The following is a 25688-nucleotide window of genomic DNA, read 5'->3' as shown; positions in this document are numbered from 1 at the left end:
CCCATGTATTATGCAAACCTATAATCCTGCAGGGACACTGGATAGCCAAATGGAAGAAAACCAATAAAAATGAAAAGAGTTGTGATGGAGATGAAACCATTTATTTTATTTATAAATCACATTTTAAAACCTTTATATTCTTACTTTAAAAGAATTATAATTAATTCAGGATAGTTAGTTTTTAAACATCTTTCTAATTATGATGGTTTCATACCAAGGCATAATCAGATATACTTGGGCTAGGATCATCTTCAACTACACTAGATGTAAATCCACTATTTCAACAGTGTTGATAACTTCAAATATTTTGGGCCAACTTCTCATCGAGTTAAGTCTACATTGACGATTTACAAACCTCACAATGTGACTGTCGTGGATCTGTTACTAGAAGGAGGAAAAGTGGTGGCCCTGCCTCTTTCTTGTTTGTTTGCTACCATTATTATTTATTGTGCAGTTTCTATGCACATTTTTTGGCCACTTGTACATTTTACAAAGACAAGCTTAATTAAAATAACAACATAGCCTGTGAACCCATGTAATCAGGCCTGTAAACTTCATCAGAGGGCAATCTTCTGAAGGCAAATGAGCAAGGGAAGGAACCACTGCCACCCTCTTGGTCTTGTGAGCTCCTATTCTTTCCTGGGACACTGCCTGTACCTTTGTGACCCATGACCATATGACCTTCATTCAGACTGTGTGAGAGCAGCGTTATCCAGCCATACAATAAATGTTAGTTATGGTTCATTTATTTCATATCTTTGTCAGCTAAAATATATAAATAAAAGTTCCACTATTTTCTTTTCCCACCTCAATGGATCCTCTTGCACACCCCATTTTTAGAGTCCAAGCTAACCAAATACTGACTTAAGACTGAATGGACGTTGGTTTTTAAGAGTGTGAAGGTATTGCTTTCATTTTGCTTTGGAGATTTGCATTGCTATAATAGATGTTTAAGGTGAGATCCATATTATGCCACTTTTTATGTGAGAAAGAAGGGAAAATAAGAAAATATGTATTTGCTGATTTGAATAAAAGGAAACAGGAAAGATAAACTAGAGACTAATGAAATTATCTATAGAACATGGGATGAATGGGGTGGAAAGGAGGGTGGGAGAACAACATTCTCTGAATGGATGTTTTGAATAGTCCTGACTTTTGGAAGCATAGTCCCCATATTTAATGACAGCAAAGAAAAGAAATATAATCAACAAAGATGGGGCCAAAACCCTAAAATTAAATATAAACAAAACAAATTAAGCCATATTTCAAATGAATAACATGACCCCATTGAAGAGAATGAGGAAGCATGAACCCAAGTCACTTTTGACTAACTTTGGACTATATGTCCTCAGGATAAAGGCAACGCAAAACAACAACAACAAAAAAACCCAAATACATATTAAACTCTAATTAATAGGCTTCTTTTTCATAGGGACATGGCTTAACAATTCTCAAATTACTTTCTCTATGTTTTAGGATTAAGCAAATAAGTAAATGTATTGTGGATAATGGGAGCCATGTCTCTCTTTCTTGGAGAAGAGAATGACAAATGTAAAAAGGGCAGAAGGATAGAATCGACCCTAAGATATCGGATAAAGGTATCAGTGTAAACTCATGGGTTTTAATGTATTTAGATAGCTAAATAAAGAAATGGATATAGGTATATGAGGGATAGATACACACATACATGTAGACGTGTGTGTGTGTGTTGTGTATACATACATCTCTTTCCCAGCTCTGTCTGCTAAGAGGGCCTAGAAGCGATGACCCCTCAATAATGTCCAGATATCTTGGTTTCTAAAATACCATTCTTCACTCAAAGAAACTTGGGCTCCTTGGAGAAGTAGCTGGAGTAGGGAAGAATCAAGATGAATCTGAAATATCTTGTTGGGCCTGAAAGCAATGTAATGCTCAAAGTAATAGGGGCACGTCAGAATGATAAGGGGCCGTACTGAAGGGACTGCCTCAGCCAAATCTAGAACAATTGAACATCAAAATCAGTAACAATAGTAAACGATGATAACCTGCTGATTACAGTAAGAATCTTTGTGTTCACACTGATATTAATTAATTGAACAGAATGGAAAACACTTAGAGTAGAGAGCCAACTACTACACGTAAAAGGAATGAGGGAATTGGAAAATCACCATTTGGCAACCATCATGATACTTTAGGATTATTATCCAGAAATTATCCATGGACACTAAAACTAGTGGATAAAAATTTGAGGAGTATCTCCCCACAAAATATTTGTTAACTACAATGTATAAAATAGTAATTTACAGTGATGAAAGTTGGCAGACCACATTTGCCAAATAATCAAAACTAACTTTCCAGTATTGGAACTATTCTACAGCACGTGCCTCCTGATGTCCTGAGAAAAGCTCAGCATCGCTCCGGTGGCATTGTTCCCAAAAGTGCATAACTTGAATCTAACCATGCAAAAACATCAGACAAATCCAGACAAAGAGACATTGTATGAAATAACTGGCCTGTACTCTTCAAAAATGTCAGTGTAATGAAATAGAAAAGAGAACTGAGAAATTCTCCTAGATTACTGGAGACTACAGATAGAACTAAATGTAATGCAGATGTTGGATTTTCTTTTGCTGTAAGACATTATTGGGATAATTGGTGAAATCTGAATATGGTCTGCAAATCATGTATTCTATCAATTGTTAATCTCCTGATTTTGATGATTGTACTATGGTTATGTAAAAGAATTTCTTGTTTTATAGAAAATGCACACAGAAGTATTTAGAAGTATGGGGTATGTCTTTACCGTATTCTTAAACAGTTCAGAAACAGATATTCCTTAAATTTATCTTTAAAAAATAGTTTAGAAAAATATATACAGAAAGATAAAGCAAATGCAGTAAAATGTTAACATTTGAGGAATCTGAATGGAAATGTATATAAGGAATACTTGTACTATTTTTGCATCTTTTTGTAAGTCTGAAATTATGGCAAAAAAATAAGACAATGTACAATAAAAATAAAATGAGATCTAGTGCAGCTATCAAGGGAAAACTGGGTTCTGGGCTAAAGGTCAGGTTAGGGCCTGAAGAAGGTAATTGCTGTTTGCTTCTCCTCAGGTCACGCCCTTGACTGCTTTGAAGTTTGCAGAACTGTCTGTGAAAGCAGGCTTTCCAAAGGGGGTCATCAACATCATTCCAGGCTCAGGTAAGCCACTAAATGACCGACTGTGCTATAACTAATGAATGGTACTGGGGTAGCTGAGTGGCTCTTTTACCTCTAGAGACTTGTCCTGAATTATAACTGTATTAAAACTAAATACAATTCACCAAACAGTTAAGGATGAATATACTTACCATGTGCTAAAATCTTAAAATGGAAATACAGTGGTGGGTGAGTGGCAGTGGGGAGGGGGGTTGTACAGTCATGTAAAATTACCCTAAGATGTTCCATTTTGATTTTCAAAAACTACTCTGGAAGATAAAAATCAAGGCTTACCCATCATTATTTTGGGAGTCTGATAATTTCATAAAGGGTATTATTTCAGACTTTTATCAGTTTGTAATTAATACAGAAAATGTAAAACTAAGGTGTCAAGGAGAGCTTAGAAATCTACTTCAATGAATTTAAAGCCATCTTCACTATAAGAATTTGAGTAAGGTTTTTTTTTTTTTTTTTTTTTTTTTTTGAGACGGAGTCTCACTCTGTTGCCCCGGCTGGAGTGCAAAGGCGCGATCTTGGCCCACTGCAACCTCCGCCTCCTGGGTTCAAGTGATTCTCTCTCAGCCTCCTGAGTAGCTGGGATTACAGGCGTGTGCCACCATGCCTGGCTAATTTTTATATTTTTAGTAGTGACAGGGTTTCACCATGGTGGTCAGGCGGGTCTCGATCTCCTGACCTTGTGATCTGCTTGCCTCAGCCTCCCAAAGTGCGGGGATTACAGGCGTAAGCCACCGCGCCCGGCCTTGAGTATGTTTTAATTCCCGTTTTATTCCCTAATTCTACAGGTGGCATAGCAGGACAACGTCTGTCTGAACATCCTGACATCCGCAAACTTGGTTTCACTGGATCCACTCCTATTGGCAAACAGATCATGAAGAGGTATTGGTTTTAAAATGTTGATTCACTGCAGATCCTGTTAAACTAGGTTTCAATTTTTGTTTAAACAGGGTACTTTTTGAGTGAGAAAAACTACATCAACTTTGGAAGGGAAATCTACTTATCACTGCTGAGTATTGAAATATTTGAATACAATAAAATACTTTCCAAAGCATTAAAGCCCAGAGTCAATAAAACCAAAGCTATGTTGAAATTCTGTGCCCTACTGGTAGTTTTAACAATTCAGCACAAAAGACTTCCTGTATTAAAGCTGTGGCCCAAATTGTTCTCAGAGTATGGGTAAAAAACCAAAAAGATACATAAATGTGAAATTTATATATTTTATATGACAAACCTGGATTATTTATAAATGGAGTCCGCCAAAGCAATTTTTTTTTAAGCTGTAAGCAATCTAAATGTCCAAAATAAAGCAGTTGTTAAAATATGTCAATGTAATGGAACACTGTGCAGTCATGTTCATAGAGAATTTTAATAACATTGAAAAGTGTTGTTAAAATAATAAATGGAAATAAAAATAAAGTATAACATTGTATACACTGGATGATCTCAACTATGTTAAACAACGCAAAAGCTATGGTAGGACAGATCACAAATAGGTAGTATATCAAAATGGTAAAAACAATGGTCACTGAGGCATGGAATGGAATTTTGTGATTTTTTTCTTCTGTTTGCATTTTGGGGTAGGTATTTTCAAAATGCTTTAAATAAAAATACTTTTGTAAGAAAGGAAAAATAAGCAGCGTACTTTTAAAAATTGATATTTTTTCTCCCAATGCTTCGGTAGTCTGGTTAGAGGTTTAATTCTTTTGCCAGGCTTTTATGTAACCAAAATTTCTAAAGAATTTGAATTAACTTTTGACCACAACATTTTTGAAATTTTTTTATTATGGAAAATGTCTAATACATAGAAAGCAGAAAAGCAAAATGAATTTTATGTACTCATCACTCAGCTTCAATGGTAATCACCATTCTACCATCTGTTTTATCTATGAATAACTTTTTCCTTTTTCTTTCTTTTTTTCTTTTTTAAGAGACACGGTCTAACACTGTCACCCAGGCTGGAGTGCAGTGGTGATCACAGCTCACTGCAGCTTTGAATTCCTGGGCTCAAACGATCCTCCTGCCTCAGCCTCCCAAGTAGCTGACACTACAGTCACACACCACCATACCTACCTAATTTTCTTATTTTTTATAGAGATGAGGTCTTGCCATGTTGCTCAGGCTGGTCTCACACTTCCGGCCTTAAAGGATCCCTTCTACCTTGGTCTCCCAGACAGTTGTGAGTCACTGTGCCTGGCCTTGAATAAGTTTCTTAATATTACTGAGGCTCAATATGTTTTCCATGCCAGGTGGTAACTTATAGCTTAAAAAGTGTGTGTGTGTGTGTGTGTGTGTGTGTGTGTGTGTGTGTGTGTTTGTGTGTGTGTGTGTGTGAGAGAGAGAGAGAGAGAGATGTTAACTAAATGCTCATTTCTCATTTGTTTTCCTCTAGCTGTGCTGTTAGCAACTTGAAGAAAGTTTCCCTTGAGCTTGGTGGCAAGTCTCCACTTATAATATTTAATGACTGTGAACTTGACAAGGCTGTGCGAATGGTAAGAGAGGGTCAAATTTAAGTAAATAGGTGCCTGGGCCAGGTGAGGTGGCTCACGCCTGTAATCCTAGCACTTTGGGAGGCCAAGACGGGTGGATCACTTGAGATCAGGAGTTCAAGACGAGCCTGACCAACATGGTGAAACCCCGTCTCTAGTAAAAATGCAAAAACATTAGCCGTGCGTGGTGGTGGGCACCTGTAGTCCCAGCTACCCGGGAGGCTGAGGCAGGAGAATCTCTTGAACCCAGGAGGCGGAGGTTGCAGTGAGCTGAGATCACGCCACTGCACTCCAGCCTGGGCGACAGAGTGAGACTCCGTCTCAAAAAAAAAAAAGAAAAAAAAATAGGTGCTTGCTTCTAAAACACATTTCACCTCCTTTTTTATCAGAGATCTTAAATGAGATTTGGGTTTTGTCTAGTCATAAATTAAAACCATTGTTTTTATGCTTAGATTTGGGAATACTCAGAGCACTTAGTTTTTAAAAATAATGTCTTTATAATTCCTCTACTAAGGTGTTTTTAAAACAGGATATGAGTCATAGCAGGCATGTAAAAAAGTTCAAAAGATATTCTATTAGGGCTTCTAGCTTCTCCCTCCTTTCCCTACAACATCTCATCCCATCAACCTGAACAGTCCTACTTTTACCTGTTTTGCACATTGAGCTTCTGGTAAGCGTTTTAGACACAACAAAGGGTTTCATATTTAACAAGTAATTAGCAACATCAATTTCCTGGTTTTAACAATGTACTATGGTTTTATAAGATGTTATCATGGGGGAAGTTAGGTAAAGGGCACAAAGGAACTCTCACATTATTTTTGCAACACCTTGTGAGCCTTAAACTATTTCAAAGTATAAAGGCTTATTTTAAATAAAATGTAAAGGTTAAAAAAAATTGGCCTAGTTCTCATTCTTCACATCTGAGATATAGGCATAAAATGAGTCAATGCTCGGCAGGGGTTGTGCTAAGCTTTCTTGTAATTGTGGGGGAAACTTATGGTCTTCTCAGTTCTGTACAACTGTCCAGCCTATGCACTAAGCAGACTCTGTTCACCATTGGCCCTAAATGTAATTATAATGAACACTCACAGCCAAACTTCATCATGTAAGCATCCCAAAGAGAATGGAGTGGTCTGGGAGTGAAGAAGAACCAAGTACCCCTGCGGCCAGGGCCTTTGAATGGACCATCTGGAGGTTTCAGTGACAGACAATGGCTGGGGGTACTCAAACTGATATCAGGGGTCAGGACTCCCCTGGATGTCTGGGTTAGGAATATATAACCTTAAAGAGTCTGTTTTAACCATTTAAGAACCCCAAACCCAAGACAGTCAACATATTTTTGTAATGTTTAAAGATAAAATGTATGCACAGGAAAAGCATGGTATTTCAAAGCATTCATTATACTTTGTTTTCGAGATGGGATCTCACTATGTTGCCCAGGCAGGTCTTAAACTCCTGGGCTAAAGTGATCCTCCTGCCTTGGCCTCCTAAATGGGTGGAATAACAGGTGTGAGCCACTGCACCCAGCCACATCCATTTTATATATATATATATATATATATATATATATATATATATATATATATATATAAAATATATATATACATATATAAATATACGTATATATGTGTGTGTATATACACACACACATATATATGGATATATATAATATATACACATATATAAATATACGTATATATATAATATATATACACATATATAAATATACGTATATATATAATATATATACACATATATAAATATACGTATATATAATATATATACACATATATAAATATACGTATATATATAATATATACACATATATAAATATACGTGTATATATTATATACACATATATAAATATACGTGTATATATTATATACACATATATAAATATACGTGTATATATTATATACACATATATAAATATACGTGTATATATTATATACACATATATAAATATACGTATATATATAATATATATACACATATATAAATATACGTATATATAATATATACACATATATAAATATACGTATATATATAATATATATACACATATATAAATATACGTATATATATAATATATATACACATATATAAATATACGTATATATATAATATATATACACATATAAATATACGTATATATATAATATATATACACATATAAATATATGTATATATATAATATATATACACATATAAATATACGTATATATATGTGTGTGTGTATACACACACACACACACACACACACACATATATATATATATAGACACACTATATATAGTCCAGGGAGGTTTCCTGCAGGTGAATTAGAAACTGAATTTCTAAAAAGGGAAAATGCACAAAATTCATCAGTCTTCCAAATCCGTCATTTTTGAGTGCCTTCATTTCAAAGATTTCTCAAACTTCTTGTTGAAAAACAGGTATTTCTTTTCATGAGGGGGTTAGAGAGGCTTTCTAAATATTTATGATTTATGGCTGCACGTGGTGGCTTACGCCTATAATCTCAGCACTTTGGGAGGTCGAGGTAGAAGGATCGCTTGAGCCTTGGGGTTCATGACCAGCCTGGGCAACATGGCAAGACCCTGTCTCTACAAAAAAATAAAATTAGCCCAGGGTGGTGTTCACCTGTGGCCCCAGCTACTAGGGAGACTGAGATGGAGGATCACTTCAGCCCAGGAAGTTGAGGCTGCAGTGAGCCATGATCACGCCACTGCACTCCAGCCTGGGCGACAGAGAGAAACACTGTCTTAAATAAATAAATAAATACAAATAAAAAATTTTAAAAATTGTGATTATACAATCTAATGTAGAGATTTTTAAAAGCAAAACTTGGTATACAAGTTATTACATTTAAATGTATAGAATAATCTAGATTTTCTAGGCCAAGGCAGGAGGATTGCTTAAGCCCAGGTGTTGAGTCCAGCCTGGGCAACATAGTGAGACCCTGTCTCTACAATAAATAAAAATAGAAAAAATTAGCTGGGTAAGGTGGTGCACACCTGTAGTGCCAGCTACTTGGGAGGCTAGAGAGAGTGGGACTCTATCTCTAAAAAATAAATTTAAGAAGAGAATAATCTAGATTTTCTTTTATTTATTTATTTATTTATGAGATGGAATCTAGCTCTGTCGCCCAGGCTGGAGTGCAGTGGTGTGATCTCAGCTCACTGCAACCTCCGCCTCCTGGGTTCAATTGATTCTCCTGCCTCAGCCCCCTGAGTAGCTGGGATTACAGGCACCTGCCACCATGCCCAGCTAATTTTTGTATTTTTAGTGGAGATGGGGTTTCACTGTGTTGGCCACACTGGTCTTGAACTCCTGACCTTGTGATCTGCCCGCCTCAGCCTCCCAAAGTTCTGGGATTACAAGCGTGAGCCACCACGCCCAGCCTAGATTTTCTTTTAACACAAAATTTGTTTCTAATGGTACATCTTTATTGTTACACATACATTTTTTTAAAAAAATGCTCAGGGACCAAAAGGGGGAAAGGATAAACAAAATCTCTCAAATCATGCTAAATCAAAACAGAGTATCTCCAAGAAGCTCTCATCACTAACAAGGCCAAGAGGATTGTCTGTGACTTATCTATATTGCCTGCTGTCTTCCAAAAACAACTAACTCCCTCTGTGTACAACTTTATGAGAATCTTGACTTCTCAAATGATGTTAGCAATATTTTCTCTTCTCCCACTGAAGGGCATGGGAGCAGTATTTTTCAACAAAGGAGAGAACTGTATTGCTGCTGGGCGGTTGTTCGTGGAAGAATCCATCCACGACGAATTTGTGACAAGAGTGGTGAGGCACCTTCACATTTACTCTGAGTTGTTTAGAGATTTTGCTTTTACTTGAAAAATCCTACTTCTAGGATTGTTCATGAATTTTCAGGTGTGATAACAGTATTGTGGTTATGTTTTAAAAAAAATCAGTCCCTAGTTTTTTTATAGCTACATACTGGCATACTTACAGATTAAATTATATGATGTCTGAAATTTGCTTCAAAATAACCCCGCAGGACAGGAAATGAGTAGGGGAATAAATTGGCCAGGAGTTGGTAGTTGTTGAAGCTGGGTGATGAGTACATGGGGTTTCACTGTATTATGTGTCTACTTTCACATGTGCTTATGATTTTTTTATAGTAAAAAAGTTAGAGGTTTATATAAAAACCTGATAAAGTATATTGAAGAGCTATGATACCTTACTCTACATTTGTAATATATTAGATCCTTGACATTGTGAGAGTTACGCTCCTAGATTTTTATAAATCTCTAAATAAACTATGAGAGATACACCATGAATCCCCAATTGCGGTTGACATGATAGCATATAATTCCTTCCACTAAAATAACTAGCTAAATAAATAAACATCCCCAGGACATTGATCATGACTCCATAAATATGGGACTAAAAGTCATCTATAGGAGTGTTAAGATGAATTATGTGGCTAAAATAAACTCTAACTTATACTATGTCATTATGAAGGTAGTATTAATCAAGAATTTGCTTATATTTGCAAAACCAGCATCCAGCTATATTTTCCCCAGAGCCAATTCTCCACACCCCAACCCACCAAAAAAACCAAAGGTATTCTTTCTTCATGAGAATGAGTAACAAGGAAGTCATATAGACAGGCAGATGGAGGGCAGTCAGGTAGGCAGTGGCTGCCTCCTGAACATCACAGTGTAATTTAATTTTGTGTCTCACTGAAAGACAGTCTGCAGTGCTATATATCATGGGCTTTCACAATCAGCTAAAAGTTGTTGAAATTTCAAACACTGAGACCAGAAATGTCAAGGATTTGCTATATCAGTACATCAACAAGCATGTTTTACAAACATGCTGTTCATATTCATTCATCAGCAGCATTTCTCAAGCACCTACTTAGTACCAAACACTGCATGCTGGGAATATAAATGTGAACAAGGCAGACATGGTCCCTGGCCACTCAGAACTTCTCATCCAGTGCAGAACCCTGGGGAACGCACTAAGAGATTACGGCCAGGCCTAAATTCAAAGTCATGGACCTGCTGGGTTATAACTCCCATTCTTCTTACCAGAATTGGACTTAACATTAGAAGATGCAGAAGTAGGTTAAGATAACTGAGGAGTGGAAGAGATAATTACAAATACATGTCAGTGATGAACATCGTGCAGTAAAGATTATTTTTCGTCAGAGCATTCTAGTGGGTCATCTGGCATGGCTACACCAGGAGAATTTTACAAAGGCAGTCTGCCACATTTGAGGAGGAAAAAAAAAGATAACAATGTGACCATTTTAGAAATTCTCTTGCCATGAACAGTGTAAGTATGTGATATTAATAAACATTTCAGAACATTAGTTTGCTATTCTTAATGGATTAACATTTAGGATAATTTTCATATAGTGTATGTAGCTTATATTGTGCTAGTAGATAGTGGTTAAGGACTTGGGATTTCAAGTGGAAAAAAGTCTACAGTATTTAGTGGTTGGGTGCACTTACTTAACCCCTCTAGGCCTCAGTTTCTTCTTCTGAGAAGCTGAGGCGGGAGGATCACTTGAGCTTAGAAGTTCGAGGTTGCAGCTGGGCGCGGTGGCTCACGCCTGTAATCCCAGCACTTTGGGAGGCTGATGCGGGTGGATTGCCTGAGGTCAGGAGTTCGAGACCAACCTGACCAACATGGAGAAACCCCATCTCTACTAAAAATACAAAAATTAGCCGAGCGTGGTGGCAGACACCTGTAATCCCAGCTACTTGGGAGGCTAAGACATGAGAATAGCCGGACGCAGTGGCAGGCGCCTGTAATCCCAGCTACTCAGGAGGCTGAGACATGAGAACAGCTTGAACCCGGGAGGCAGAGGTTGCAGTGAGCCAAGATCACACCATTGTACTCCAGCCTGGGCAACAAAATAAGACTCCACCTCAAAAAAAAAAAAAAAAAAAAAGAAGTTCGAGGTTGCAGTGAGCCATGCCATGCCACTGTGATCCAGCATGGACGACAGAGTGACTAAGACCCTGTCTCCAAAAAGGAAAAAAAAAAAAAAACCAACCACCTACCTCCGGTGCTATTGTAAAGACTAAATGACAATACATCTATAAACACCTTAGTATAACACCTACCACTTGGTAGAAACTCCATTATTATTAACAGTGAATTGTGTTTTTATGGACTGGGTAACATACAGGTAGAAGAAATTAAAAAGATGAAAATTGGTGATCCACTTGACAGATCCACTGATCATGGGCCCCAAAATCATAAGGCTCATCTGGAAAAGCTGCTGCAATACTGTGAAACTGGAGTGAAAGAAGGGGCCACTTTGGTGTACGGGGGAAGACAAGTCCAAAGGCCAGGTAAGATCACCTCTGTGGGGGTTTACCGGGTGCCCGCCTTCTTCAGTTGGAATGGACAGCGACAGTTTAAGACCAGCCTGGCCAACATGGTGAAACTTCATCTCTACCAAAAATTAGCCCAGTGTGGTGGCACGCACCTGCTACTGGGGAGGCTGAGGCACAAGAATCACTTTAACCTAGGAGGCAGGTTAACGTGAGCGGAGGAGGCTGCAGTGAGCTGAGATCAAGCCACTGCACTCCAACTTGGGCAACAGACTGAGACTCTGTCTCAAACAAAACAAAACAAAATAAAACAAAGAAGGGGAGACAACTGGATAATATGTGTCTCCTGATGGAATAAAACGTGTAATACACAGTATCACCTATGAAGTGTTCCTGCCAAAAAAGCTTAAGCTGAATCTAATTATACCTTTAAGCCAAGCTTTCTATTCATAAGAACTGCAGTAGGGAGGGAGGAAGGAACAGGAAGTTATTTTTTAGTGGGTATAGAGTTTCAGTTTTATAAGCTGAAAATAGTTAATGAAAATGGATGGTGGTGAAGGTTGCATATTATGAATCTCATAACACTGAGCTGTACACTTAAAGATGGTTGTGATGGTAAATTTCAGTTATGTGTATTTTACCACAATAAAAGTCACTGGGAAAAAGAAGAAATACAAGAGATAGAGAAACAAATATCATCCAAAGGAAGCAATGATTAACCAGAAAGAAAGATAATGTATAAACAACTGACCCAGTCTCTTTAACATGACGATAGCATAAAAAATAAGGGGAAGACAAAATGGGGAAATGTTTTAGAGTAAAAGATCCTTAAGAAATCTAAACACCAAATACAATGTGTAGAAGAATTTGAATCCTAAATCAAACAAACCAACTGTGAAAAAGCTAATTTCTAGACATTAAGGAAATTAAAATATAAACTCTGAATAAAGAATACTTACTAATTTTGTTAAGCATGACACTGTATAGTGGTTATATAAGAAAATATCCTTATTTTTTACAGATGTGTACTGAAATACTGAGGTGTTAAAATTATGATATCTGGAATTTGCTTTAAAATATTTCAATGAGGAAAAGATAAATACAGCAAAATATGGATATTTATTTTACCATTCATTATACTGTTTTCTCTACCTTTACATAGGTTTGACATTTTCATAATAAAGACATTAAAAAATAAGAACCTGGGCATGCCAACACCAAATAGAGAAATGCAACTCTTCTTGGTTTTACTGGGCCAGAGGGAAAGAAAAAATTATAATGTAATTAAGTGAGAGGACTATTAATTGAAAATGACTTAACCTACAGTTGACATTTTTTCTTTGTTTTTTCCAAAAAGGCTTTTTCATGGAGCCGACCGTGTTCACAGATGTGGAAGACTACATGTACCTCGCCAAAGAGGAATCCTTTGGGCCTATTATGGTCATTTCTAAATTCCAAAATGGGTAGGTTCTTCAGACACAATGTAACTTAGGTTTTGACTAGATAAGTCATTTTTCCCCTTTGCCACTGTGCTATATACACAGCATAAGATTAATGAACATGTAATTTTCTACCATAAGAATAATTAACTTAAATAATTAGAAGTTACGCTTTTGCTAACCATCGTAGATCATAGTATATTTTTGCTTTTCAGCTTCAATTAATGGCCAACATAATGGGCTTTTAGCTGAATAAATTTTAGTTTTTCTGCACTTGACATTTGAGATGTCTGTGGAACAAAGTAAATAACTGAGAAATAACAAAACTGGTTTTCACATTTAAATTCCTAGGGTATGCATCTGTGAAATCTTATTTCCCTAGAGAAAGAGTGCTGTTATTATAGGGGATATTGCCCCCCAAAGCTTGATACTCAACTTTTCATGGAAATGTTCATAATCATCATATAATCAACTGTAAATGACATGCTGGCTTGTGATACTACATGAAACTTTGCAAAGAGTTCAGCTTATCGAAGAGGTCCAAGTGCTAACTGAGCTCATAAAACAATACTTAATAGAATGGGGTCTCATGGTATACTGCACAAAATTCTTCAGAATGGCTTTAGATTTATTTCAGCCAATGAGAACTTGAAAAAAAAATAAAGAATAGACTTTCTCGGTCTTTAATAGATATAGTATAAAAGACTTCAGGGGACTATAAGGTGTAGTGAGTAACCTTTGATATATCCATTCAAGGATGCATGCTATGCCATTTCTCATTATACATTCTCCCATGGTGGTGGTGTTAAATGTGCAGACATTAGAAGTCAGGTTTGAGGGAATCTACTGTAACATGGGTAAGTCACAGCCCCTGACCTTAAGGAGTTTATTATCTAACAGGGGAGACAGACAGAGATGACAGTTAGTCCACAGAGGGTCAGAGGCAGGATGGTGCAGTGGGTCAGAGGACCAACTCTGCCTCCTCTCCCCTCACTAACCCTCTGAGCTTGGGCCAGTTACTTAACCACTCTGCACCTCATGCCTGTAATCCCAACACTTTGCAAGGCCAAGGTCGGGGGACAGCTTGAGGCCAGGAGTTTGAGATCAGCCTGGGCAACAAAGACCCTGTCTCTACAAAAATTTTTTTTAAAAATTAGCTGGGCATGGTGGCATGTGCCTGTAGTCCCAGCTACTTCGGAGGCTAAGGTGGGAGGATCACTTGAGCCCAAGGAGATGGAGGCTGCAGTGAGCTATGATTGTGCCACTGCACTGCAGCCTAGGCGACAGAGCAATGCCTGGCCTCTAAAAAAAAAAAAAAAAAAATTTAAGCAGATGGCAGTAATGTTTTCCCGTTTCTAGCATAGACGGGAAAATTTTCAGAACATAAAATGAATCTTTTGCTTTACATTTAATGAAGTTTTATGTCTTCCTAAAAACATAGGGACATCAATAGAGCATTGCAGTGAGCAAATAATAGAGTATGGTTTGGTAACAATGTGTACCTCCTTAGGTCATTCTGAGTATTACTAAGTCAAGTATTTGCTGTTGCTGCTGCCATCAATATATGCTTGTCATTGCTGTAGACATAAACAATGTGCTATGGAGCTATGGTGATATCTTGATAGTCCTCAACGAGAAATGGCATAAAACCATCTTTCTCCCTCTAGTCCATTCTATAAATATTTGGGTCCCTACCATATGCAATGCATCAAGAAGTGTGAGAGTTTTAGCAGAGTCCAAGTTCACTCCAGGTTAGATTCCAGATTTCTTGTGCAAGTTTAAAATTTTGGATAGTCAAGATGCCTTTGAAAATTCCTTCATAAGGCACTACACTGAAACCTGTACTGTCTCAATAAATTCAGCACTCGAATTTTTCCTCCAGTTTTGGAACAGATCCTGTGTCTTTGCTGGAGCACCAGATGAAATACCTGGCTTGGCCAGGCGCAATGGCTCATGCCTGTAATCCCAGCACTTTGGAAGGCCAAGGCAGGCGGATCACTTGAGGTCAGGAGTTCAAGACCAGCCTGGCCAACATGGTGAAATACAAAATCTCTACTAAAAATACAAAAATTATCTGGGTGTGGTGGCATGTACCTGTAATCTCAGCTACTCAGGAGGCTGAGGCAGGAGAATTGCTTGAACCTGGGAGGCGAAGGTTGCAGTGAGCCGAGATCGCACCACTGCCCTCCAGCCTGGGCGACAGAGTGAGACTCCATCTCAAAAAGAAAAACAACAACAACAACCTGGCTTGTATTTGCTGGCCATGTGGTAGAAAATGTGTGCGTTTTTAAGCATTAGGATCACACTAGAAGAAGGTACATACACTATGACAGGCACATTAGAACTCGACTCAACTGAGAAAAGAGTAGGTTCATGTCTTCACCTGCTTGGATGTGTATACAAACTAAGTCAAAAGGCAGGGAAATCACGGGACCTATTTTGTTGAATAAGCACATGTAATCCCACTCACTCGCATTTGACGATGCAACACCATAGCATAAAGAGGTATATGAGACATAAAGTTATCCCTGCCCTCGGGGAACTTTTATCTTCCAATTTATGGAGGGTGAACCATTACCTACAGGAAGAGTTAAGTCAGCACTATATAGTTGGTTCTACCAAAATATTAAGTTTGGAAAAATATGTGCTACCTGATGATAGCTGGCTTTTATTGAACATTTATTGTGTTCCAGGCATGATTTGTTCATTTCATCCTCATGACAACTAGACAGGTCCTTTTATTATTATTTCCATGGTTCGCAATAATAAATGAAGGCGAGGGGAGATGGAGTCATTTACCCAAGGTCACCAGGCAGTCTGGCTGCAGAGCCCTCTCACAGAACCACCCTACTCTCCCACCTCGACAATGGCACTGGTGGGATCTGAAACGGCTTCAGGCACTGAAGGAGGCTTGAACCTTATGTGCAAAATCGGAAGAGATGGAAGGAAATAGGGAGGACACTCTGAAAATCCATCTAGAAGTGGGAGTCATGGGAGAGGGGAGGGAGTGGGAGATCATGAATGAGAACCATTGAAGAAGATTGAATATATGACTTTGGGTCAGATTTTGAAAGGTGTTGCATGATATATATGAAAAATGTAATACTAGTAATATTTTTTTGGGACTTTCTTTTGGTGTGAGCCTGATATTTTCATTTATAAAAATTTAATCAGGCTGGGCGCAGTGGCTCACACCTGTAATCCCAACACTTTGCAAGGGCAAGGTTGGGGGATAGTTTGAGGCCAGGAGTTTGAGATCAGCCTGGGCAACACAGGGAGATGCTATCTCTACAAAAAAATTTTTTTAAAAATTAGCTGAGCATGGTGGCACATGCCTGTAGTCCCCGCTACTTGGGAGGCTGAGGTGGGAGGATCACTTGAGTCCAAGGAGATGGAGGCTGCAGTGAGCTATGATTGTGCCACTGCACTGCAGCCTAGGTGACAGAGCAATGCCTGGCCTCTAAAAAACAACAACAACAAAAACATTTAAGCAGATGGCAGTAATGTTTTCCTGTTTCTAGCATAGATGGGAAAATTTTCAGAACATAAAATGAGTCTTTTGCTTTACATTTAATGAAGTTTTATGTCTTCCTAAAAACACAGGGACATCGATGGAGTGTTGCAGCGAGCAAATAGTACAGAGTATGGTTTGGCCTCAGGGGTTTTTACAAGAGACATAAACAAAGCTATGTATGTGAGTGAAAAACTGGAAGCAGGAACTGTTTTTATTAACACATACAACAAGACAGATGTGGCGGCCCCATTTGGCGGAGTTAAACAATCTGGCTTTGGAAAAGACTTAGGTATGGCTTTACTTTTCTGCTTCACCTTCCCTTTGTTGTCACATCACAGAAAAATCTGCTCTATGTTTCATGACTTGTGTGTGACTTTGAGGGGCATTTCCTACATGGCAGTTATATCTGGGTTTAGAAGGGCATTCGTTTTTTAAAATATTAAACATTTCTATTGAATATACCATACATACAGAAAAGTACACACATTGTGTGGAAAGATATTTCTTTTCAAAAAAGATTAATGTTTGAAAGGAAAAAGAAATTGCAACAATATACTTTAGCTGAAATATGTTTGGTGTTTAATCTGACATTCGGCATGAACTTGGGTTAGCTGTCACGAGACTAAATGGAACCAAGAGAGGCAAATGGGTGGAGAGCAATAACCAGCGAGCTCCAAGAATAAATCCTGTCCTGGAGCTTCTTGGCAGGCTTTCAGAGTCAACACTGAAAAAACCCTGCAATTGGCAGGGTTTTTGGGAGTCTGAGCAATGAGACTTAAGAGTTTGTAAAAAGCCCAAAATGTAATTCACTGTGAGCAGTGACACTAACACCTTTCAAGCAATAGCTTACTTTCAGTGCGAAACACATGCCAGGCCCCATTCTACTTAGCCTGTATAAGCAAAGGCAATTCTCACACGAGCTCAGAGGAATAGGTACTATTATTATCTTATTATACAGAAGAGGACAATGGGGCTCAGAGAGGCTGGGTGAGTTGCCTCAAGTCACAGAGCCAGGCACTGGCAAGAGAGAATTCAAAGGCAGGCGGTCTGGCTGTGGAGCACATCTCTTATTCCCCTCAGTCTGGTACGTTGTTTCAAAAACTGAAATGTTTGTGATTTACTGAAATTACAGTCTGCAAATATAAGTTTAGTTCATTTGGAGTTTTTTTGTTTTGTTTTGTTTTTACATTTTCTCTTTACTAATGACTTTGGCCATGTATTTGCAGCAGTAAAAGTAGCTCTCATTTTAAATTCCATTGGGTGAAGGTAAGGGCTTCCCCCCCAACTTTTCCATGTCTTTAATCTGGTTTTCATGCCTGAATCCAAATCACTGTAGGAGACTTTCTTAGGGAATTTATTATTAGAAAGTGAGGCATCCCTGTTTCACCCATCTTTTGAGAGAGTGTATTTGACCAGCTCCAGGTCTGTTTTACTATAAAATACTACAGTTTTTCTAATAGTTTCTTCCTCCCCCAATTTTAAAACCCCTTAGCCCAGTGGTTGTCAACCTTAGCTGCACAGTGGATTCAAATCACCTGGGAGCTTCAAAAAATACAGATACTGATCTAATTGATCTGGGGTGTGATGTGGGGTCAGGAGTCTTAAAAGCTCCCTGAGTGATTCTAACATGCGGACAAAGTTGACAGCCCTTGTTTTAGCTCAGCTTCCAGAATCACGCACTCATTAGTTTTCCCATGGTATTCAGTGCCCTTTAACCTCTGTAGAGATTGATGACAGTACTGGCTCAAAATAGAAACAGTCAAAGAAAGGCAGACCTATTTATTTTTGCCTAGACAGGTTTCCCTGTGTTTCTAACAAACAATATAAACTGAATTTTCCTTATCTTTAAAATAAGGTTAAACCAAATGATTTCAAACTTTCCTGTGCTCAGTTCTGCTTTAATTAATATAATCCAGAGGACAGTATCCTGGTTACTTCTGTTTAGTTTAAATGGACAAAAAGGCAGAGTCTGTCATCAAGTAGGGAAATAAAAGAGAAGGGTTTTGGTTTGAAGCTGACCAGGCAACACTCTCTGCTCCTTAGAAGGCCTGGTAGCTGGTCTGGGCTGTTACTATTCAAAGTGTGGTCCATGGACCACTAGCATCAGCATCATCAGGGAATGGTTAGCAACACAAAACCTCTGGGCCCACACCAGACTTAATCAGATCAGGATCTGCAACTTAACAGAGTCTTCAGATGGTTAGTATGAACTTCAAAGTGTGAGAAGCACTGGCTTAGGCCACATTCTATTTACTTAGTGACCTGGACACCTACGTATACCTATGTCTGAAGGTCTGAAGACATCACATGTCTGCCTCTGAATGTGGTCTGTCAACTGCTTTTCTCTTCCCTAGGTGAGGAAGCTCTAAATGAATATCTCAAAACCAAGACGGTGACACTGGAATATTAGAGCAACACCATCATCAGGAAAGCCTTGACAGACAGCCCTTTACAACTCTGGACACACTTAAGAAGATTGGGTGTGTTGAGGCAGGAGGTGTCAGCCACAAACCAAAAAATACACAGATGGACCATGAAGAGGGCCAGGCCATGTTAAAGCATTTACACATGTGCCTGAGTATTTTCTAATACACCTTCCAGTGATTTGGAGTTGTTGCATTTTGACTATGTTGTATATCATACGTATTTCTAAAATACCAAGCTGTTTCTCCCCTACCTAGACAAATCTATTCATGGTTCCCATCTTGAAGATGTCAGTACCATGCAGTTATAATACACAAGGTGCATTTATTGGAAACTTTGTATAATATGTACAGGTTTTTAACCTCTGAACTATACATAGGGGGTTATTAAAAAGATTTTCTATAAGTCTTCTAAGGAACAGTATAACCTGTAAGGAATGTGAAGGTAGTTCTTTTTTAGTATTTGGAAATAAGATACATCTTTGTGCCTTTGATATTCCATTTTTTAACCCACTGTGATGGGTGATCAACCTAGAAACATTATCTTGAGTACCTACTAGGTACCAGGTACTATATTATGTTCTGAGGAGTATAGAGAATTTAATGATATGATGGCTGGCCCCCACATAGTTTAAATTTTAGTAAATAGCTTTTGAAGCAAATTTTACATATGATATAGTAGAAGGCTGATCCTGGTCGTATCATACCATCTTCCTATCTATGTAACTTTGGGAAACTCTCGCAACTCCTCTGAGCCTCTGCTTCCCTATGTGTAAAACAGGGATAGTAAATGCCTTCCTCAGGACCCTTAATAGGAGAATTCATTGCAGTAATGTAAGTAAAGCACCTCACATTAATGCTTTGCTCATGGTAAGTACTCAAATTTAACTCTGATTTCCTCCGTCACCATTCTTAAAAGATATTGAGATAGTTTAATTAACTAGATGAATTCATTTCCCACAACCCTTTTCAATCATCAATTCCTAGATATTTTTCTCATCCATTGTTCTGACACAATGCCTGATACAGCAGCACTGAAAAATGCCACACAATGAAAAATGGCAATAGTACAAGGAAAAGGGGTGCTTTTCTTTGGGCAGCTCGCTCGTCCTTCATGGGACATCTTACTTTCCATTTTTCTACCTATTGGTTCTGCTGTTCACTGGCTGTGTGATCTTGGGCAAGATAGTAATCTAATATCTCAGAGCCTAGGTTGAGTATCTATAAAATGAAAATCAAATCTCTATCTCAGTAGGTGTTGCAAGGATTCAGTGAGATAATATACATAATGCACTTAACAAGGCGTTTGGACCATAGCATTGAAGAAATGGAAACTATTAACAGCCCATTTCCCATTGGCAGACAGAAGTAGTCAGGTGAGTAAATTTTCACCATCTATGTGTGACTAGAAGGCGGCAAATTTCTGAATCACATGAGTCTCCAAAAGATAGCCAGAAAGTTAAATTCTATTAATCCTCCTTTAAAAATAAAATTTCAGTAAACATTCCTTTTTCTTTGGCTTTGAAGAAGCCTTAGGGAATATTTGTCATTTTGGAGACTTGGCAGAATAACATGAGGGGATTGTAGGGAATCAATAAAAACTAAACAACAAAATCAGAGTCAGAGAACATTTTCAAAAGGAAGAATAGGAGGTTTGATCCCAGCATGATAAACAGAGCGAATTTGGCCTGGAAGCACTTTTGATTATACTATAGCTCATTTACCATCCCAGAGTTTGGCACAGCTGAAATTTTAAGTTGGAATGAATATTCACTGGGCCCAAAATGACAGTTCATATTTGAATAAAAGTGACAAAAGCCTTTTTATAAGTAATCACTTTTAAGTGAAATGTTTTAACTGATTTCATGTGATTTAGAATATGATTTAATCAAATTATTTTAATGATAGATGGAATGGCAGACAAAAACATGCCTGTCCTTCTAGACTGATTTTACTTTACCCTCTAATATTCATCTCAGTAGCAGTGTTTTAAATATTCTCTGGGCTGCAAAACTCTTTGGGAATCTGATAAAAGCTATGAACACTCCCTGTGTCCCGCTTCTACCCCCAAAATTCATGTGCACACACACAATTCTGCAAGTATCTTCAAAGGGTTCACAGACCTCCCAAAGGCCATGCTTGGGCCCCAGATTAAGAACTCCTTTCTCCATAGCAAGTTTTAAACATTTCTTACCAGCTTACATTTTTAGATCTGGCTGATCAGAATCAAAGGCTCTGTGTAATACATAAAGTTACCAAGTGAACTGGAATTGGAACATCACCCTCCCCAGCCTGCTAGGTGATTTACTTAACACATAGAGTAATAAAATCATCGCTGTTGCTTTAGATCACGGATTATTTTGCTAATAATGCTAAGGATGAAGCTGTGATCTTATTATCACCTGAATCGGGAGGTGTGGACACTTTAAGCAGTTCCACTTTCCTTCTAATTCCCCATCCCCATGCCTTTGCTAAAGCTGTCCCTTTTGCTCTAACACCCTTCCTGGACCTTCCTACCCTAGCTGGGCTAAGTGTTTCTCCTCAGCGTTCCCACTTGTTTCAAACATAGCACTTACCACTTGTACTAAAATTACTTGCCTTCTTAATTAGATATGAACAACCCTCCCCAACTCCAGTATGGGCCTTCTGTCAATAATAATACGATATGACAGCTACCATTTATTAAGGGCCTCCTGTATGAAAGACCTTAGGCTAAGCATGTTTTAAATGTTATTTAATCTTCACAATCTCTGAAAAAAATGAAGAAATCAACGTGCTTTTCTTACTACCTCTACCCCTAAGCCATTATTACTTTTTTTTTTTTTTGAGACAGAGTTTTGCTCTTGTTGCCCAGGCTGCAGTGCAGTGGTGCAATCTTGGCTCACTGCAACCTCTGCCTCTTGGGTTCAAGCGATTGTCATGCCTTAGCCTTCCAAGTAGCTGGGATTACAGGTGTGTGCCACTACACCTGGCTAAGTAGAGATGGGGTTTCGCCATGTTGGCCAGGCTGGTCTTGAACTCCTGACCTCAAGTGATCCACCTGCCTCCGCCTCCCAAAGTGCTGGGATTACAGGCATGAACCACTGCACCTGGCCTGTTACCTCTTTCCTACAATTTTGCTCAAGTCTCCCAACTGGTCTTCTGGATTCCTCTCTTCTGCGGTCCTGTTCAAAGCTTAAGTCAGACAGTGTCACTTCACTCGTCTGTTTAAAACCTTTCAATGGCCCCCATTTCACGTAGACCAAAGTCCAACGTATTTACCTGGCCTACTGATCTTGCTCCTAGCTACCTCTGACCTCATCTCCTGTCAATTTCCCTCTCATTCTGTTCCACCATCCTGACTGCCTTGACTTCCTCAACAGAACAAGCCTGCTCCTGCCTCAGGGCCTCTGTCCTTATTCTTCCTCTTCCCAGGGGTGTGCTGGTAAAATATTTAACAAATAGTTCTCCGGGACGGGGGAGAAAACCCTCATTTGTAGCATTTGCAGGTATCTATGTGTAAATACTCTCATCAAGGCTATTTTTGAGCCACTAATTTGCCTTCACTGAATACAGAGTTTGGGAAGAGATGCATGCCATCAGAACAAATGCAAGCCAGCACCAGCACACCACTGCCTCTTCCTGCAACTCTTGTCCATACACAACCTCATGGCTGGCTGGCTCACTTCCTGCAGGTCTCTCCTCAAATATCATCTGATGAGAGACACATTCCCTGACTATGCTTTCTAAAATAGGCCATATGCCCCCACATTCATACCCCATCTGCTGTCATTCTTTATTCTTTTTATAAGTGCATTATTTTCATAGCACTTATCACTACCTGTTGTATATTAATCAATGATCTTTTCCCATTAGAATGTAAGTTTCATGAACAGGTACTTGTTTTAATACTGTATCTCCAGTCCTAATGTGTAACAGGAGCCCAATAAATGTTTGCTTTCAAATGGAGAGGTTAAGTAACCTGCTCAAATCACACAGCTATTAAGTGGCAGAACAGGTTTTCAAGCAATGCATCTGGTGGTTTTAACTAAGTCGAGATAGTTTTTATTCCTAATGCCTAAATCAGGGCCTAGGTAGTGAGCTGTGGGCACATATTAAGTATTGGTTAAACTAAAAATAATAAGCAAAATGGACATTATCTATAAAAGCTTTTGTGGAAATGGCTAGAGCTAGGGTAAGGAAACAAATTTGGTTCCCCATACCTGCCCTCCAAGAAAATAAAGCTGTCAAGGAAAATCTGGGCTAAGAGTAGGATATGAGGGATGATGGATAAGGCATGAGACATGAGAAATAAGGGGGATTAAATTATTATTACTATTATACAAATGATGCCTGAGTAGATTTTTAAAATGATTAAATACCCAATGATGTAAAAAACATTTATAAAATAGGAAAGTAAGACTGACTCAACCATAATTTGTTGAGTCAACCCAAAAATCTATTTGGTTATTTTCAAACAGAAATAGCCTACAGATGATATCTGAGATTGTTCCAAACTTTTTCTATGAATATGTATACTTTTTTTACATAATTAACATAATACTGTATATTAATTTGTTACCTGCTTTTTCAATTAACAATATATCATAAGCATCTATGCCAATAAACACAATTCTGCATATTTCAATGGCTTTAATTCAACATGTTGTCTATCGTCGGACATTTAGATTTGCTTTTTGCTATTTTAAATGTCACAAAAAATCTTATATAAAATTTATGACCAAAGCTACACTTATGTAATTAGAACAAATACCTGGAAGTGGAATTCCTGAATCAATAATCCCACCAACAATTTTCCCACATCTTTGCCAACATTGTGTATTACAAGTTATGCAATTAGTATCTCTATGCCAATTTTCTCAGCTGTGAAGTGAATATAAGCATATCTCACAAGGTGATAGGCTTTTTTGAAAAAAAAATAAGGAAATTTATTCTGCCACCAAAAACAGAGCCCAGCAATAGTGCAGTATACAAGTTATTTGATGCAGTGACTCTATAATGTTCTTTGCTCTTGTCTGCTATCTGTAGTGTGCTCACTTTACCCTCAAGAGCTGGCTCCATTCATGGCCACGAGAAAGGAGTTCCAGGAATCATATCCCATCATAATGATAGGGACAGGAGGCAGGAAAATTCTGAGCAGAAGAGGATGGGTCCCCAGCGAGGGCCCCACTCTTAAGCGTGGAACCACAGCCCAAAATGAGAACATGCATTCCCATTTTCCTGCTCGAATGTTGCCTTTTCCAAAACTATCCATGGCCCGCCCTACCCCAATCCTGTGCCCACAAAAACCCCAGCCCCTGCAAGTAGAGAGAGGAGAAGAGGAGCAGCAGCTGGCCGTCAAATACTACAGTTGGATGTTGGAGAGAAGCAGCTTGACTTCAGAGGGACAGCTTGACAGTGTTGCTTCAGAAAGGAGCCCAGCCAGGCCAGGGACAGCTGGACTCCGGGGGAAGATTATCTTCCCATTCTGTCGCCTTTTCAGCTCCCCTTCCCGCTGAGAGACGCTTTCATCGGCAATAAAATCCCCTGCATTTACCCTCTCCAATTTTCATGCAACCTCATTCCTCCTGGACGCTGGACAAGAATTTGGGTGCAGGTGCAAAAGGCTGTCACGCTGACCCTCCACTGAGCTGTTAACATTTAAGCCATCTACAGACAGTAAAGCTAAAAGAGCATGGACTGTAACCCTCTTTCTGGGGCTTCAGGGGTCATAGGCAGCCCCCTAGATGATGCCATGAGGCCACATGGAGTTTTGCTTCTGCCAGTGCCCAAAAGCACTCACCCGGCTCCTGCACCCACTCACCTGTACTCACCTTCCTGCAAGGGGTGGGACACAGTGGGACAGAGTGAGTGGAGTCTGCCCCTTCTGGCACTGAAGCAGCTGGCTAGTTCTAGCGCCTGTGCACTCCAGTTCCCACCCATGAAAGAGTCAGGGAAAATTTCCTGCCTCGCTATCTTGTCCTTTCTTCCAAAAGAAAGGAATCATTTTGTCATGTGCCTCCTTTCTAGGAATGAGAAATACAGTCATGTGCCAGATTCCTTTTGAGCAACGCAGCATTAGGCGATTTTGTTGTGTGAACATCACAGTGTACTTACACAAACCTAGATGGTATAGCCTACAACACACCTAGGCTGTATGATATAATCATCTCGTCATGTGCCTCCTTTCTAGGAATGAGAAACACAGTCATGTGTCGCATGATTTCTTCTGAGCAATGCATCATGAGGTGATTGTGTCATGTGACTATCATAGTTTACTTACACAAACTTAGATGGTATAGCCTATGACATGCCTAGGCTGTATGATAC

The 25688-nt window shown here is 38.7% G+C and overlaps 1 protein-coding gene across 5 annotated transcripts in view, besides 1 other annotated feature; it reads left to right on the top strand.

Annotated features, from left to right (window-relative positions):
• ALDH1L2 (aldehyde dehydrogenase 1 family member L2) overlaps nucleotides 1-24000 on the top strand; it is a 64669-nt gene extending 40669 nt beyond the window's left edge. For 3 of the 5 annotated variants that reach the window (NM_001034173.4, XM_047428406.1, XM_047428407.1), the window contains 8 exons: nucleotides 3096-3183; nucleotides 3984-4077; nucleotides 5588-5687; nucleotides 9392-9490; nucleotides 11856-12021; nucleotides 13361-13466; nucleotides 17046-17245; nucleotides 19311-24000. In NM_001034173.4, the coding sequence (NP_001029345.2) occupies nucleotides 3096-3183; nucleotides 3984-4077; nucleotides 5588-5687; nucleotides 9392-9490; nucleotides 11856-12021; nucleotides 13361-13466; nucleotides 17046-17245; nucleotides 19311-19366 (909 nt within the window). In that variant the 3' untranslated portion in view covers nucleotides 19367-24000. Of the gene's footprint in view, nucleotides 1-1476; nucleotides 1583-3095; nucleotides 3184-3983; nucleotides 4078-5587; nucleotides 5688-9391; nucleotides 9491-11855; nucleotides 12022-13360; nucleotides 13467-17045; nucleotides 17246-19310 lie in introns of those variants that run through there. The other 2 variants (NR_027752.2, XM_011537988.4) reach the window with 2 other exon arrangements.
• Nucleotides 6600-6679: a silencer, noted in NCBI's record as "silent region_4802". NCBI's record gives its function as "represses an Ori minimal core promoter by ATAC-STARR-seq in GM12878 lymphoblastoid cells {active_cell/tissue: GM12878}" and the evidence as "EXISTENCE:reporter gene assay evidence [ECO:0000049][PMID:35858748]".

The sequence above is a fragment of the Homo sapiens genome, chromosome 12 (genome assembly GCF_000001405.40).
Source record: "Homo sapiens chromosome 12, GRCh38.p14 Primary Assembly".
NCBI classification, from domain to species: Eukaryota; Metazoa; Chordata; class Mammalia; order Primates; family Hominidae; genus Homo; species Homo sapiens.
This window is presented reverse-complemented; position numbering and strand designations above follow the sequence as displayed.